The following is a 16,565-nucleotide window of genomic DNA, read 5'->3' as shown; positions in this document are numbered from 1 at the left end:
GGGAGGGGGCTGGACCCATCCTTCGATTAGGAACTCACTCCCCCAATAACTAACCCACTCCCAAGATAATGGCATTAACCAATTCATGAGGGCTCTTAAAATTCCCACCTCTCAACTCTGTTGTACTGGGGATTAATAGAGGCAGCAGGACCAGAGCACCCAGTGAAAGACATTATCAACTATAGGAAAAACAAAGAATGGTTAGGAAGGAAATTGAATACTCTACATGGCTCGAATGTGAATACTTATTGTCATAAATGTTAAATACAGTTTAGCAAAAAGCTATGTTACAACATACTCTGGCGGGATGGGCAGAAAGGCCTTTGTGTTGCTGAGTGGCTAAAGAGTGTGGAGGACAGTGGATGAGAGAGCCAAATACCTATCTCCATAGCAGGAAGTCAATAACTAATGTCTAAAATCAAGAAAGGACAGAACAAATATATCATTTCTAAATATCAAGGAAGTATCATGAGAAAAAACAAATAATTGACAGTGGTTGCCAGCACAACAGTTGCCAGAACAGCAGTTCTGGGTGTAGTGTGGCAGAAGACTGCTGCTTTTTTTTTTTTCAAAATTTATTATGTCTTATGCTATTAGTTGAATTTTATAACTATATATATGTAGTATTTTGAAAAAAATTAAAATATTAGAAAGCACATGCACCAAGAGATGAAGAACAATAACCAAAAAGAGAACTCAAAGGTCTAGGAACTTGACTGGGTGGAAATGGGAGGATTTTAATGGGCCACGGGGTTCTACAGGAAGAGTGAATGGTTTAAACAAAGAGGCAGAGACTAATCAGTCAAATTTTAGTTGAAACAAAATTAGAGTTGAATATCTTTTCTCCAAATCTAGGTCCAATTATACATTCAACAAAATTCAACATTACTGACTAGTTAATATTTATGCTTATTTACAGATATAACAAAATTTCATAGCTAGGGAAGCAGTTCTGGGGCTGTCAGTGATCTTGCTTGTTATTCCAGACAACTGTCATTCAGGGACTCCAGGTAGCATGATCCTGAGAGCAAATGCACCATTGTTAAAGGCATAGACGTATAAATACAAACCTCTGCCACAGAGCACTATTCACTCTTTGCGTCTGAAGAGAACCAGAACCCCTTAACTCTTGGGCGGCAGCCTGCCGTCTGAATGTGAAGGAGAAGGAAGAATTAGTACAATGCCTGTTTTTGAGCTCTTCAAGTCACCAGCATTTTGTAGGAGTGGAATGCTTCATCTCCTGGCCCCTAACTTCGGGGTAGCAAAATGAGAAGCTAATGCCTGCTGGAAAGGGTCCCAAGATAGAGAAGCTAATGCCTGCTGGAAAAGGTCCCAAGATACTGAAAGCTCTGAGATTGCACTAGAAGAGAAGAGCTCAAATCCTGCCACTTACCCACAAAAAGCCAGGGAAGTGAGTGTCTACTGGAAATTGTTTTAGGTGTGAAGTATGAACTGTATGTATCTGAAGGCTTCCTGCCTTGGTGCTGCCAGATGCCCTTGCTGTGTGACAGGAGGAGGTGAGAACAGGTTGAAAGAGGAGGAAACGACTAATGACCCTTAGGAGCAGATCGATTACCACCCTATGAAAGAGTAAGTTGACAGTTCAGACTATGCAAAAACAAATTGTTGGAAAAGCCCCCTTCATTTTTCTTAGCCGAAAAGTAAACAGATTGCTACAATCTGGCATCTCTGTAGTTTTACCCACTCTCTCCACACCCCAAAGTACAGCCATTAAAGCCCCACGGTCACTACACATGTCTCTGTGTTATGACCTTGCTTTTCTTTCTCCTCGAGGGGACTCATTGACCTTTCTCCATCTGGCTCAATCTGTGTCAAGTTGCTTCTTGACCCATTTGTTTTTCCATCGGTTGTGAGCTCTTTGAAGTTAGGGGTCATGCTTTATCCATCCCTGCTTCTTGGCCATAGCACATAGTTGGTGCTCACTAAATACTTGCTGAAACACTTGTCAACTAAAGAAAAGCCAAGTTTTTAAAGAATTAAAGTGAGTTTTATTTAGTCTTACTGAGGTTGGCAACCCAGGAGAGTCTTTCGGAGAGTTTCTGTTAGACTGCTCCAAAGCAGTGTTTCAGCCTACAGCTTATACATAAGGTGACAGTCATTCTGCCTGTGCTCAAAAGTTATGTAAGAGCAAAATTTCACCAAAGTTTGGGTGCAAGGGTACATCTAGTTATAGATTACAGAGGCATAATGATTAATCCTGTCAACCATTATCTTATGTACAGCAAAAAGACAAAGGCCAGGATCATTGAATTTATCTTTTCTAAAAATGCAGTGATTTAGGTAAGAGATGTGGTAACCTGGGCTCCATCCTTCTTATCATCTTCAGGGCATCCTTCCGAAGGGCTGTCCTCAGTCACTGAGTCAGGGGCTTTGTGAAATTCTGCTGGCAGCTGAATGAGCAAACATGGCCTCTTATGTTTGCTACTTTGTCTTACAGAGTAAGTGAATGTAAAACAAAAACAAAAACAGAATGAATGAATGAAAGTCTCTGTGAGAGAAGCAACCTATCCATTGCTGTTTGCCTTTCCCACAGTTCTGGGTTTGGCTAGGGAGAGTTCACATCCCTGCTGATGTTTATTTTAAATTTCGAAGCAATAAGGAAATTGAAAAATGGACACAAAATTCAGGGGTATCTATTTCCTTTCTATTCATACAGCCTTATATTTTGCCTTCTAAGCTATTCTTTTCCTTGTATTCTTTTTAGACTCTCATTCAGATTATGTTACCTCAATATTCTTCCCTTAGAAGACTTTAAGAAGCAGATTCCATTCAACAGTTTTACTCTACAGAAATACTGTGTGTAAGGCCGGGTGCGGTGGCTCATGCCTGTAATCCCAGCACTTTGGGAGGCTGAGGCAGGTGGATCCCCTGAGGTCAGAAGTTTGAGACCAGCTGGCCAACATGGTGAAATCCCATTTCTACTAAAAATACAAAATTTAGCTGGGTGTAGTGGTGCACACCTGTAATCCCAGCTCCTCAGCTACTCAGGAGGCTAAGGGAGGAGAATTGCTTGAACCTAGGAGATGAAGGTTGCAGTGAGCCAAGATTGCACCACTGCACTCCTGCCTGGGCAACAGAGTGAGACTCCATCTCAAAAAAAAAAAAAAAAGAAGAAGAAGAAGAAGAGGAAATACTGTGTGTTTTCCTCAGTGTTCATGAAGCTTAATGTGCAGGTATTTTCATAAGGTTCTATATTTTATTGAAAAACAGACAACAAAACAAGAAACAGACTAGTAAAATTGCTGAATATGTGCATGGTTTGCCAGCTGGGCCAAGAGGAGGCAGCAGTGAGCTAACCCAGGGCTTGCTGTGTGGCTTGGAGGATCCTGTCACCATCAGCCTGCATTGTGACCTTGCTTTCATTTTCTCTCTCTGAGATGAGGGAGTTAGACTACATGATCCTTAGAGTCTCTTCCAGCTCCAAAATTCTCTGTGTAAGTTTTAAATAGATGTTTGGGACTGATTTAGGTCTGGGAAGAGAAAAGTGAAGGAAACAGACAAAAATTCCCTCCGTTTATGAAGCTTACATTCCCATGGGGCCTTCCAGACCCTACGGTTGTCATAGTGGCGAGGAGGCTGCCTGGATTGGAGGGTATGAGGCTGGGTAGGAAGTCAGACCAGGGCTTGACCAGTAGGCATCAGACAGATCCAGGGACCAGGCAAAGCAGGAAATGAATGAAATTCACTGGGTCCAAGTGAGATGGGAGCAGGGAACAGGCTCTCCACAGAGCCAAGCAATCAGAGGGATTGTGCTAGGTCCCTAACTGACCAGGAGGAGACAGGCAGAGTTGTACCCACAGGACAGTTGGGCCTGCAGAACCTCCAGAACCAGAAAGTCCGTTTAGCAGCCTGACTCAGCAAGGCTTGCTTCTGCTCCTGGGGAGATGCACAGGTCCCAGCATGCAAGTGACTGGGAGGGAACATGGAGAACACAGCAAAGAGGAGGAGCTAGAAAGAGCACCGGAGGAGTGAGGGGAGGAACAGCTCAGAGCCTTATAGCTGACAAGCCTTCTGTAAGGGTGGCGTGAATGAGTGAATGACACAGAGGGGAGTGTTTGCTACTTTGCTTGATCTGTGAGCACTGGTCAGCTGCCTCTTATTATATGCCTCAACTTTATAATGATATGATTAACTGCTATTCTCAGGTCTTCAGTTACTCTTTATACTTAAAGTTCTAGAGGCTCAGTTCTGAATGGAATCTATATAATTAGCCAGTAGTCTCTTTATGATGAGGTAACTTCTGTCGAAGGACTGTGATGTTATACTCTGCTGAACACTTTACGTGTATGATTATCTTTACCTTTAATCTCACTACAATCCTATGAGGTAGAAAGTATCTTTCACATTTTATAGAAGAGAAAACTGAGGTTCCAAGAAACTAAGCATTTTGCTCATGGTCATAGGACTAAGAGAAGATACATGACGTCCAGAGTTGCTTTTCTCTTTCTCTCTCTCTTTCTCTATCTCTTTCTCTCTCTCTCTCTCTCTCTCTCTCTCTCTCTCCCCCCTCCCCTCTCTGTATCTCTTCCTCTCTCCTCTCCAAGTTTTCAGTGTGGTGAAAGTAATGCAGATTAGTGACTAACCACTGTGGGTAGCATGGGTTTTTTCTTCTTTTTCCCCTTTTTAATTACACATCCTTTCCTTTCGTTTTCCTGGTGCTCTAAGCCAGCTCACCCCTGGTTTTTTATTCTGCCTTGTTTGGGATGGAGGTGGTATGCATGGAAGAGCAAAAGCAAAAACTTTAGGTAGCCTCAGCCCTAAAGTAGAGCCAGGATCCACACCAATGTCTCCTCTTAACTGCCTCAACCACTTGCCTTGCTGTCTGCCCATCTTTGAAGTGGAGATCTTAGTGGTTAGCCTCTGGGCCTCACCTTCATCTCTCCCTGTCCTCATCTTGTTTGCTTTCTTCCCAGACTAACTCAGCTCCAGGATTGTCCCTTCTGGAAGCTATCCCATGCGGCTGTCCCTGCCTTATACAGGATCTACCTTGGCAGAGGGAAAACAACTCTTGGTCCTTGTCATGGTAAATTTTATGTGTCAACTTGACTGGGCTAAGGGATGCTCAGATACCAGATAAAATATTGTTGCTGGGTGTTTTCAGAGGTCATCAGCATTGGAATCAGTAGATGAAGTAAAGAAGATTGCCCTCACCAATGAGGGCAGGCATCACACATCTATCGAGGACCTGAATAGAACAAAAACGCAGAGAGGAGGGATAAGGAAGGACTTGTTAAAGATTACAAAATTATAGCTAGATAGGAGGAATAAGAGGAATAAGTTATAGTGTTCTATACCACTCTAGGATGACTACAGTTAACAATAATGTACAGTTTTAGATAACTAGAAGGAGGACATTGAATGTTCCCAACACAAAGAAATGATAAATGTTTGAGATGACAAGTATGTTAATTACCCTTATGTTATCACTACAAATTATATGGCTCTAAACATCACTATGTACTCCAAGAATATGTACAATTATCATTTGTCAATTAAAAATATATACATACCATGGAATACTATGCAGCTATAAAAAAGAATGGGATCATGTTTTCTGCGGGAACATGGATGGTGCTGGAGGCCATTATCCTTAGCAAACTAACACAGGAACAGAAAACCAAATACTGCATGTTCTCACTTATAAGTGGAAGCTAAGTGATAACTCATGGACACAAAGAAGGGAACAACAGACACTGGGGCCTACTTGAGGGTGGAGGGTGGGAAGAGGGAGAGGAGCAGAAAAAATAATGATTGAATAGTAGGCTTAGTATCCGGGAGATGAAATAATCTACCTGACAAATCCCCATGACACGAGTTTACCTACATAACACATCTGCGTATATACCCCTGAACCTAAAATAAAAATTAAAAAATAAAATAAAAACAGAAAGGTGAAGGATGGAAGGAAATTAGTTTCTTTGCTTGAGTTGAGACATCCATCTTCTCCTCCCCTCAGACATTGACAATCCTGGTTCTTGGACTTTTGGACTCAGACTGAGGCTTATACCACTGGCCTCCTAATTCTAAGGTCTTCAGGCTTAAACGGAATTATACGACTGGCTATCCTGGTTCTCTGGCTTGTAGACAGCAGATCATGGGACCTCCTTGACTTCCATAACTGTATGAGGCAATGCCTATAATAAATCTTTATACATGCATATATCTCCATCCTATTGGTTCTGTTTCTCTGGAGAACCCTGGCTAATATAGAGTTTGGTACTGAGAGTGGTTCTACAGGAAACAATTTTAAGAATGGTTATTCTGAATTGGCTCTGGAGTCTCTGGAATTGGCTCTCCAATCTGATTAGATTTAAAGATACTAATGACTATTTCTAGTAGTAAGGAAAGCAGTGATAGTCTGTGACATACACTATTTATATAGAGATAGGAAAAATATCTGCACTGAATACTTCTAATCAACTTATATCTAATCACTTATATGAAGCAAGGAGCTCATTTACTCTGTATATGATACTTTTAAACATTTTTAGAAAATAAGAGAACACAATGACATTGGTTGGTTTCTCCTAATATCAATGGACAAAGTGGTGAAAGAAAGGGATGAGCTTGGGGATTTAAATTCCCCACTGGAGGCTGGGCCCAGTGGCTCACCCCTGTAATCCCAGCACTTTGGGAGGCCGAGGTGGATGGATCACCTGAGGTTAGGAGTTCGAGACCAGCCTGGCCAACATGGTGAAAGCCCGTCTCTACTAAAAATACAAAAATTAGCTGGGTGTGGTGGCGGGCACCTGTAGTCCCAGCTACTTGGGAGGCTGAGACAAGAGAATTGCTTGAACCTGGGAGGCAGAGGTTGCAGTGAGCTGAGATGGCACCACTGCACTCCAGCCTGGGTGACAGAGCGAGACTCCATCTCAAAAAAAAAAAAAAAAAAAAAATATATATATATATATATATCCCAACTGGAGCATGGCATAAATGACCTAAAAGCTTGTAGTGTGCCCTGAAGAAGAGACTTATCTCCTATAGCTGAGAGGCTGAAAACCAAATGCAGAACCTCATCCTGTGATTGGCTGAATTACAATACAAGTTGAACTCCCAAACTTGCAGGGTGTCTACTGTTAAAGCGATGGCATTCATTGGGAAAGAATGATATCCTGTAAGCTGAGAAAGAGACATTGGGAATACCATGATAGAGCTGGGGATATTCAGCCCCTATATGCTTATGAACCTTCTTTGCCAGTGGAAAAGTCCTCCTTCATCCCCAGTGAAAGTAGCCTCCCCACCCACAGTGGTCTTGGTCTTTCCACCTCCTTCTGAGGTGCCACATTGCCAAAGAAAAGAGTAATGCCTTCCCCTAAGGCAATTACCATGCAAAACACTACTGATTCCGGACCCACTCTCCCCACCCCTCTTTGCTTTGAGACCTATAACTAAACTCAAGTCCCAGGAGGCCCCTAAAGATGAGGTACAAAGTGGGACCCATGAGGAGGTGCACTATATTCCAAAAGAACTACATGAGTTTTCTAACTTATATAAACAAAAATCTGGGAAACCTGTGGGAATGGATAATAAGGGTGTGGGGTAATGGTAGAAGGAACATAAAGTTGGGTCTCACTTTATTTATTAGTTAATATGCTGACTGAGCAGAGATTCTACATTTAGTGTTGCAGCTCATGATGTTTGAAAGGGCCCAAGAGGTTGTCTGGTAGATTGAAATCACGGACCAAAATTTACCCACCGTAAGAAATGGAAATGCCTGACCTCCCTTGTTTAGTGTAGAGAAAAGGATCAGAGACTTTGAGAGATTCGAATGTTAGAATGAATATATTATTTAAGACTTACTCACCCACACTGGGAGTATCCAGAAGACGTAACTTTTACACATTATGAGAAATAAATTTATGAGGGGAGCCCCAGCATCCTTGGAGAGCTCCACGATCACTCTTCACTTTGATTACATCTTACAGTGGGAACCACAGCCACTCAACTGGAAAACCTAAACACAATGGGAATAATTGGACCTTAGGTGGCAGGAGCCAAGTGTGGTATTGAACCGCCAAAGGCAAAATGGGAGTAGTTACCATAATAGACAGCAGAGTCAAAGCAGCAATCAGAATAGTCTGACTTGTGCAGACCTGTGGCACTAATGAGGTAATGATGGTGTTCCCAGAAGAAAAACAGATAGGAAGCCTACTAAATTCTTACTTGATTTGTATAAGAAAAAAAAATTTAGATCAAGTGAACAAAAGTTTAACTCAATTCATAAAAACAGTCACAGTCCCTGAATCAATTCCTAGACTTGAGCCAGTTTACAGATCCAAAACCTCTTGAATAAGGGGGAGACCGAGTTCTCTGGAGGAAGGACCCTGGTATACAACAGAGTATTCATATTGTTAATCTTTCTCCCAGCCTTCTCCAAAAGGACCTATAGCCTTTAACTATGGTAACAGTGCATGGGGGAAAAGGAAATAGTCAGATCTTTTGAGAACTATTGGACACTGGCCCTGAACTGACACTGATTTCAGAAGACCAAAACATCACTGTGGCCCTTCGATCAGAGTAGGGGCTTATGGAGGTCAAGTGTGTTTTAGCTCAGATCCATTTCCCAGTGGGTCCAGTGGGTCCCTGAGCCTATTCTGTTGTTATTTTCCTAGTTCCTGAATGCATAAGTGGAATAGACACACTGAGCAGCTGGCAGAGTCCCCACATTGGTTCCCTGACCTACGGAGTGAGGGCTGTTACGGTGGGAAAGACAAAGTGGAAGCCATTAGAAATGGGTGTACCTAGGAAAATAGTAAATCAAAAGCAGTACCACATCCCTGGAGGGATTGCAGAGACAGGTGCCATCACTGAGGACTTGGAATATGCAGGGGTGGTGGTGATTCCCACTACATCCTCGTTGCTCTCCTATTTGGCCTGTGCAAAAAACAGATGAATCTTGGAGAATGACAGTGGATAATCATAGGTTTAACTAGGTGGTCACTCCAGTTGCAGCTGCCATACCAGATGTGGTTTTACTGTTTGAGTAATTAACATACTCCTTGGTATCTAGTATGTAGCTTTTGTTTTTAAATTGACAAATACCTTTTTTTATTTTCTTAAGGCAAATGCCTTTTTCTTCATTCTTATCCATAAGACCCACCAGAAACAGTAGGCTTTTAGCTAACAAGGCTAGCAGTATACCTTCAATATCCTACCTTGGGGGAATATCAACTCTGTGGCCCTGTGTTATAATCATATTTAAGGGAATCTTGATCACCTTTCCCTTCCACAGGATATGACACTGGTCAGTTGCATTCATGACATTATGCTGATTTGACCTAGTGAGTGAGAAGTGGTATCTAGTCTAGACTTATTGGTAAGACCTCTGCATGTCAGAGGGTGGGAGATAAATCTGACTAAAATTCAGGGGTCTTCTACCTCAGTGAAATTTCTAGGGGTTCAGCAATATGGGGCAGACAGAGCTATCCCTTCTAAGGTGAAAGATAACTTGTTATATCTGGACCCTCCTGGAACCAAGAAAGTGGCACAATGCCGAGTGATCCACTTCGGATTTTTGAGACAACATATTCCTCATTCTGGCCCATTTACCTAGTGATCAAAAAAGCTTCCAGTTTTGGGTGGGGCCCAGAACAAGAGAAGGCTCTGCAATGGGTCTAGGCTGCTGTGTAAGCTGTTTTACCACTTAGGCCACATGCTCCAGCAGATCCAATGGTGCTTGAAGTGTCAGCAGCAGACAGGGGTATTGTTTGGAGCCTTTGTCAGGCCTCTGTAGGTGAATCATAGCACAGGCCTTTAGGATTTTGGAGCAATGCCCTGGAGTCAGCTGCAGATAACTACTCTCCTTTTGAGAAAGAGCACTTGGCCTATTACTGGGCCTTAGTAGAGACTGAATGTTTGACCAAATTACCGTATGATCCTGAGCTGCCCATCTTAAACTGGGTATTATCTGATCCCCTAAGCCATAAATTTTGGCATACACAGCAATAGTCCATCATCAGATGGAAGAGTTATATACATAATGAGGCCAAGCAGCCCCTGAAGGTACAAGTAAATTACATAAAGAAGTGGCCTAAATACCCATGGTCCCCATTCCTGCTACACTACTTTCTCTCTTGCAGTCTGAATCTATGGTCTCATGGGTAGTTCCATATTCTTAATTTACAGAGGAGAGAAGATTGGAGAAGACTCAGACCTGGAATACAGATGGTCCTGCATGACATGCAAGCACCATCTGAAAGTGGACAGCTGTAGCACTGCAGCCTTTTTCTGGGATATCCCTGAAGGACAGTGGTAAAGGAAGATCCTCCCAAGTGTGCCAGACTTGAACAGTGCACCTGGTTGTGTACTTTGCTTGGAAGAAGATATGGCCAGATATATAATTATATACTGATTCATGGACAGTAGCCAACACTTTGGCGGAGTGGGCAGGAACTTGGAAGGGTCATGACTGGAAAGTTGGTGACAAAGAAATTTGGGGAATAGGTATCTAGATAGATCTCTCTGAATGTGCAAAAGGAGTGACGATATTTGTGTCCAATGTGAGTACTTACCAAAGGGTGACCTCAGCAGAGGATGATTACAATAATCAAGTGGATAGGATGACTCATTTTATGGATACCAGTCAGCCTCTTTCCCCAGCCACCCCAACGGGCTCATAAAAAAAGTGGCCATGGTGGCGGGGATGGGGTTTTTCATGAGCTCAGCAACATGAGCTCCCACTTACCAAAGCTTACCTGGCAATGGCCACTGGCTGTGTTCTCTGTCAGTAGCACAGACCAACACTAGGACCCCAATATGGCACCATGCTCCAAGTTGATAAGTCAGTTACCCTGTGGCAGGTTGAATACATTGGACCTCTTCCATCATGGGGCAGTGTTTTGTCCTTACTGTAATAGACACTTAATCTAGATATGGATTTGCCTTCCTTGCATGCAATGCTTCTGCCAAAACTACCATCTGTGAACTTACAGAATGTCTTATCCACCATTATAATATTCCACACAGTATTGCTGCTGATCAAAGAACTCATTACACAGCAAAAGATTGTGGCAATGGGCCCATGTTCCTAGAATTCTCTAGTCTTGCCATGCTTATCATCATTCTGAAGCAGTTGGCCTAATAGAACAGTGGAATGGGCTTTGGAAGACTCAGTTACAGCATGAGCTAGGTGGCAATATTGTTTTCATTTGTTCTTAATGCTATAACATAATGTCTTAGACTGAGTAATTTATTAACAACAGAAATTTATTGCTCACAGTTTTGGAGGCTGGGAAGTCCAAGATCAATATACCAATAGATTCAGTGTCTGATGAGGGCTCTCTGCTTCATAGATGGCCCCTTGTTGCTGTGTTCTCACATGGTGAAAGGGACCAACTGGCCTTCTCAAGCCTCTTTCCTACAGGCACTAATCCCATTCATGAGGCTAGATCCCTGGTGACCTAATCACTTCCTAAAGGTTCTACCACTTAATACTATCATATTGGGCAATAGGTCCCAAATATGAATTTCGCTGGGATACCAACCTTTAGACCATCACATACCTTGAGGGACTAGGGCAAGGTTCTCCAGAAGGTTGTGTCTATGCTTGGAATCAGTGTTCAACATATAGTGCTCTTTCTTCCAATAGCCAGTATTCATGGGTTGTGGAATCTAGGAGATGGCAACAGGAGTGGCACCACCCACTATTACCCCCTAGTGACCCACTAGCAAAAATTTTGCTTCCTGTTCTTGCAACTTTGTGTTTTGCTGGCCTCAATGTCTTAGCTACAGAGGGAGGAATGCTTCCACTAGGAGACACAACAGTGATTCCACTGAACTGGGAGTCAAGGCTGCCACCTGAGTACTTTGGCCTCCTCATTCCTCTGAATCAACAGGCAAAGAAGGGAATTTTGGTGTTGGCTGGGATACTGATCCTGACTGCCAAGGGAGAAACTAGTCTAGTATTTCACAATAGCAGGTAAGGGTCTGGAATACAAAGAGCTCCCTTAGGGGCATCTCTTAGTATTATCATGCCCTGTGATTAAGTTCAAAGGAAAACTATGACAATCCAATGCAGGCAGAACTGCTAATGGCCCAGGCCCTTCAGGAATGAAGGTATGGGTCACCCTACCAGGTAAAGAACAAAAACCAGTTGAGGTGCTTGCTGAAGTTAAAGGAAATACAGAATGTGTAGTAGAAAAAGGTAATTGTAAATTTCAGCTACAACCATATGACCAGTTACAGAAATAAGGACTGTAATTGTCATGGATATTTCCTCCTTATTTTGTTATGAATACAATTATGTGTATGTATGTTAGGCAAATATATTTGCTTTCTTTCCTGTCATCTTTTCTTATCATGTAACACAAGATGTATTAAATTTATATCAGTATTTAAGTATTGTTAATTTTACGTCATAATATTTAAGTTACAGCTATCAGGAGAAGAGTAAATATTACTCAAAGACTTTACCTCTTCTTCTGGGGAAGAGGCTAGTGTGTTTTCAGTTGCATGCAAGATTGTTGTATCATGCTAGATTGAATTATGGCCTTGTTATTCTCTTTATTTGGAGATTAAGTATGAGTTTTAGGAGATTGGTATGGGTGCCAAATTGACAAGGGGTGGACTCGTGATGATGAATTTCATGTGTCAACTTGACTGGGTTAAGGGATGCTCAGATAATTGGTAAAATATTATTTCTGGGTGTGTCTATGATGATGTTTCCAGAAGAGATTTATTTTTGAATCAGTAGACTGAGTAAAGATCACCCTTACCAATGTGGGTGAGCACCACCCAATCAGTTGAGGGCCTAAATAGAACAAAAAAGGCAGAGGAAGGCCAGATGCAGTGGTGCACACTTGTAATCCCAGCCACTTGGGAGGCTGAGGCAGGAGGATCACCTGAGCTCAGGAGTTTGAGGCCAGCCTGGGCAACATACAACTCCATGTCAAACAAAACAAAACAAAAAGGTAAAACAAACAAACAAACAAACAAAAAAAACCCCCAAAAAAACAAAAACAGAGAAAGAGCAAATTTGGTCTCTCTGCTTGAGCTGAGACATGCATTTTTCTTCTGCCCTTGGGCACTGGTAGTCTCATTTCTCTGGCTTTCTGGGTCATATTGAGAGTTACACCTTTGGCTCCCCAATTCTCAGGCCTTCCAAGTCATGAACTGAATTACTCCTCAGGCTTTCTTGGTTCTCCAGCCGCAGACAGAAGATCATGAGACCTCTTGGCCTTCCTAATGCGTGAGCCAATTCCTATAATAAGTCTCCTTTTATATATATTTACAAATAATCTATTGGTTCTATTTCTCAGGAAAACCATGAGTAATACAACCCCCTATATGTCTTATATGCCTTTATTTTCTTACCTACCATTTTAACTTGTAATGTCTGTTGATATCCCTGTCTCCCACTTGATTGTGAGCTCTTAGAAGTATGGGGAGCACATTGTAGACGCATAATAAGTTTTAATTGCAGGAAAAAATAACTTTTATAATTAGTAAAGACAAGCAGTACCAGCATTTATTTTAAAATAATAAATTTTAAATAAATTAATCAATTAATTAATACTGCCTAGAGCAGTAATACATATGAGCCGAACAAAACAAAACAAAACAAAACAAAACAAAACAACCCACAAAACCCAATTAGACAAAAGACAATCTTGGTCTCAACTACCTCATCTATAAAATGGTTATGTTTGTTATGAAGATTAAATAAATGTACATATGTATATACATGCACACATATATATATGTATTATTTAGAACAATGATTGGCAATTGTGACTGTACTAAACATTAAATATTATAAATGATCATGTTATGGTTTATCAACTCTTCCCTGTTGCTGGCTATGTTCTTGACAGATTGCAATAAAGAGTATGCTTAGGACTATAGTCAGAACTCCAAACATCTTTAAAGTCTGTCTACAAGTACATGAACTGAGGAGGCTGGAAGTTCCTCCTTCCATCTTCTTGGGATGAAATGAGAGGGAGGTGGGCCGGGCTGCATCCTGGGCTGCAGTCTGTGATAGGCTGTCCCCACCAGGAGGGTCTTGCTCATGGGTCTCCTCATGGAGGAGGATGATCCCCATGGGCCTGGATCCTCCTCATGGGCCTGGATATCTCTGAACATATGATGAACATTGCTTATGAAAAATTATTTGTAGGAAAATTGTGAGGCCTAAGAATGTTATTTTCTTTTAGTGATGGTCTTTGTTTGCTTCTGTAAGGTACTTGTGGGCACTCGTAAGCTTGGATCTCTTTAATCTAATACCAGTTTTGAGATTTTCTTGGCCCCATAGATGAATTAAAACTGGTGTACTTCTTGTTTACAAGAAGGATAAGTCTCCTAGGGTAAGTCTTTTGGGGTCCCAAGTCAAAAAGATGAGGGATTTACCAGTTCTCTAACCTTGGTAGCCCCAGACTCCAAACTTTGTCCTTCTAGTCCCAAGAGGCTATCAAAAGCAAAGGCCCATCTTCCCACCTCCTTTTCCAGATCAGCACACATTCCCAAGACAGTACTGAAAGCAGGAACCTCCTTATCCCTTAGATACCTCTTGAGAGCATCCTTCCCTCTCTCTGCATCCTACTATGCTTGTCCAACCTACCATCACCTCTCTCCTGGATAACGGTAAGAGCCTTCTGACTCAGTTTGCCTACATCCAGTCTTGACCCCCTACAATCTGTTTCCCATACTGCAACTAATGAAATTTTAAAAGTGCAACTCTCTCTGCTGGCCACACTGACTTTCGTTCTTTTAGGTCCTCTCACCACAAGGCCTTTGCACCTCTGGCTAGAAGGGTTTTATTTTCCCTTCCCACTTCTTGTAAGTAGCTCCTACTCATCTTCCGATCTCAGCTCAGTCTTCATCACTTTGGAGATACTGTCTCTGACCACAGGAAAATTTGCCATTCTTGGCTCCACACACCTCTCTTTCATAGCAGTCATCACTGCAACCATGTTATTTAAAGGATATTTGAGTGTTGGCCTCTGTCATTAGAATGTAAGCACCCTGAGGGCAGAGACCTCTGTTGTGGCCCACTGCTGTATTCCCTGAGTTCAGCATAATGTCCAGCACTTACTGGTGCTCAATAAGTACTGCTGAATGAATAAATGAATGAATGCATACATGATCAAATGAATGAGTGAAAGCCTTACTGAAATGGTACAGATACCTTCTTTACTTTCCACCAAGGTTTCAATGTTTACGAATTTGTTATTTGCACCTCACAAGTTGCAAACCACACAGTTCTGGAGGCTGCATGTAATGGGGCTATGAGGTGGTGTGACTTCTCACCCTGAAGAGCTGGTGGTTTCCTTTGCCTACTGGTTGAACTCATGAGGGGAAGCTTCTTTCTGCAACTAGCTTTGGGACAGAATTTATTGAGTGTCCAGAGACCAGATCTATTGGTCTCCCTAGGTCCTGTTTCAGTCACTGGTTTAAAAAACCCCAAAGTATGATTAACCCTAATTATTTATCATCTGAATGGGTTCTGAGGAGAGAGGGGAAGGCAGAACAGATGCATCCTCAGTCCCAGCATCCCCCTCTCCACGCCTCTGTCTTCACACACTGTGAAGCTCCCCTCAGCCTCCAGCAGCCCTCTCTGAGGGAAAGTCATCTTCTCCTCTGTCATTATGTGGAGGGTTTCTCCTTTCTCCCCACCCATTCTCACTCGAGGAGGTCTTTCCATCCTCCCCCACACCCTTACCATGAGGGTCTCAGACTTTCCCCTCAACCCCACGTAGTGAGTAGTGCCTCGTTTTTCTCACTGAGCACCTATTTAAAATTTCCTCTACTCTATTATGCAATACATACTTTCTCATTGAGGAATATTCAGAAAATGAATGAAAATAGGAAAAAACCAAGCCACCTAAGCTTTCACCCTCCCTAAACAACTGGTGTTACTATTTTGATGTTTTTTCTTCCAAATTTTTCCCTGTAGAGATTTTTTCTAAAACACAGCTGTAATCATATAGCACATTAAATTTGCATTCTACTTTTTATATTTGTGATGTCATAACATTTTCTAACTTGAAAACCCATAGTTGTTGTGTTGTTGTTGTTTTGTGAGTCAGAGTCTCACTCTGTTGCCCAGGCTGGAGTGCAGTAGCACAATTATAGCTCACTGCAGCCTCAACCTACCAGGCTCAAGCGACCCTCCCTCTTCAGCTCCTTCCTGAGTAGCTGGGACTACAGGCATGCACCACCATGCCTGGCTAATTTTTGTATTTTTTTGTAGAGATGGGGCTTTGCTAAGTTGCCTAGGGTGGTCTTGAACTCCTGAGGTCAAGTGATCCTCCTACTTCAGCCTCCCAAAGTGCTGGGATTACCGACATGAGCCACCACTCCTGGCCAACCCATAGTTTTTTTTAAACAATTTTTTTTTTTTTTTGAGACAGAATCTCACTCTATCATCCAGGCTGGAGTGCAGTGGTGCGATCTCGGCTCACTGCAACCTCCACCTCCCGGGTTCAAGAGATCCTCCTGCCTCAGCCTCCCAAGTAGCTGGGACCACAGGCACATGCTAAAAATTTGTTATTTTTAATTTTATTTTTGATTCAGAAGCTACATGTGTAGGTTACACAGGTATATTT

The 16,565-nt window shown here is 42.2% G+C and overlaps 4 annotated features.

Annotated features, from left to right (window-relative positions):
- Positions 3,342-3,791: an enhancer, noted in NCBI's record as "active region_1955". NCBI's record gives its function as "activates an Ori minimal core promoter by ATAC-STARR-seq in GM12878 lymphoblastoid cells {active_cell/tissue: GM12878}" and the evidence as "EXISTENCE:reporter gene assay evidence [ECO:0000049][PMID:35858748]".
- Positions 3,822-3,871: an enhancer, noted in NCBI's record as "active region_1954". NCBI's record gives its function as "activates an Ori minimal core promoter by ATAC-STARR-seq in GM12878 lymphoblastoid cells {active_cell/tissue: GM12878}" and the evidence as "EXISTENCE:reporter gene assay evidence [ECO:0000049][PMID:35858748]".
- Positions 14,653-14,722: a silencer, noted in NCBI's record as "silent region_1464". NCBI's record gives its function as "represses an Ori minimal core promoter by ATAC-STARR-seq in GM12878 lymphoblastoid cells {active_cell/tissue: GM12878}" and the evidence as "EXISTENCE:reporter gene assay evidence [ECO:0000049][PMID:35858748]".
- Positions 16,273-16,322: an enhancer, noted in NCBI's record as "active region_1953". NCBI's record gives its function as "activates an Ori minimal core promoter by ATAC-STARR-seq in GM12878 lymphoblastoid cells {active_cell/tissue: GM12878}" and the evidence as "EXISTENCE:reporter gene assay evidence [ECO:0000049][PMID:35858748]".

The sequence above is a fragment of the Homo sapiens genome, chromosome 1, assembly GCF_000001405.40.
Source record: "Homo sapiens chromosome 1, GRCh38.p14 Primary Assembly".
NCBI lineage: Eukaryota > Metazoa > Chordata > Mammalia > Primates > Hominidae > Homo > Homo sapiens.
This window is presented reverse-complemented; position numbering and strand designations above follow the sequence as displayed.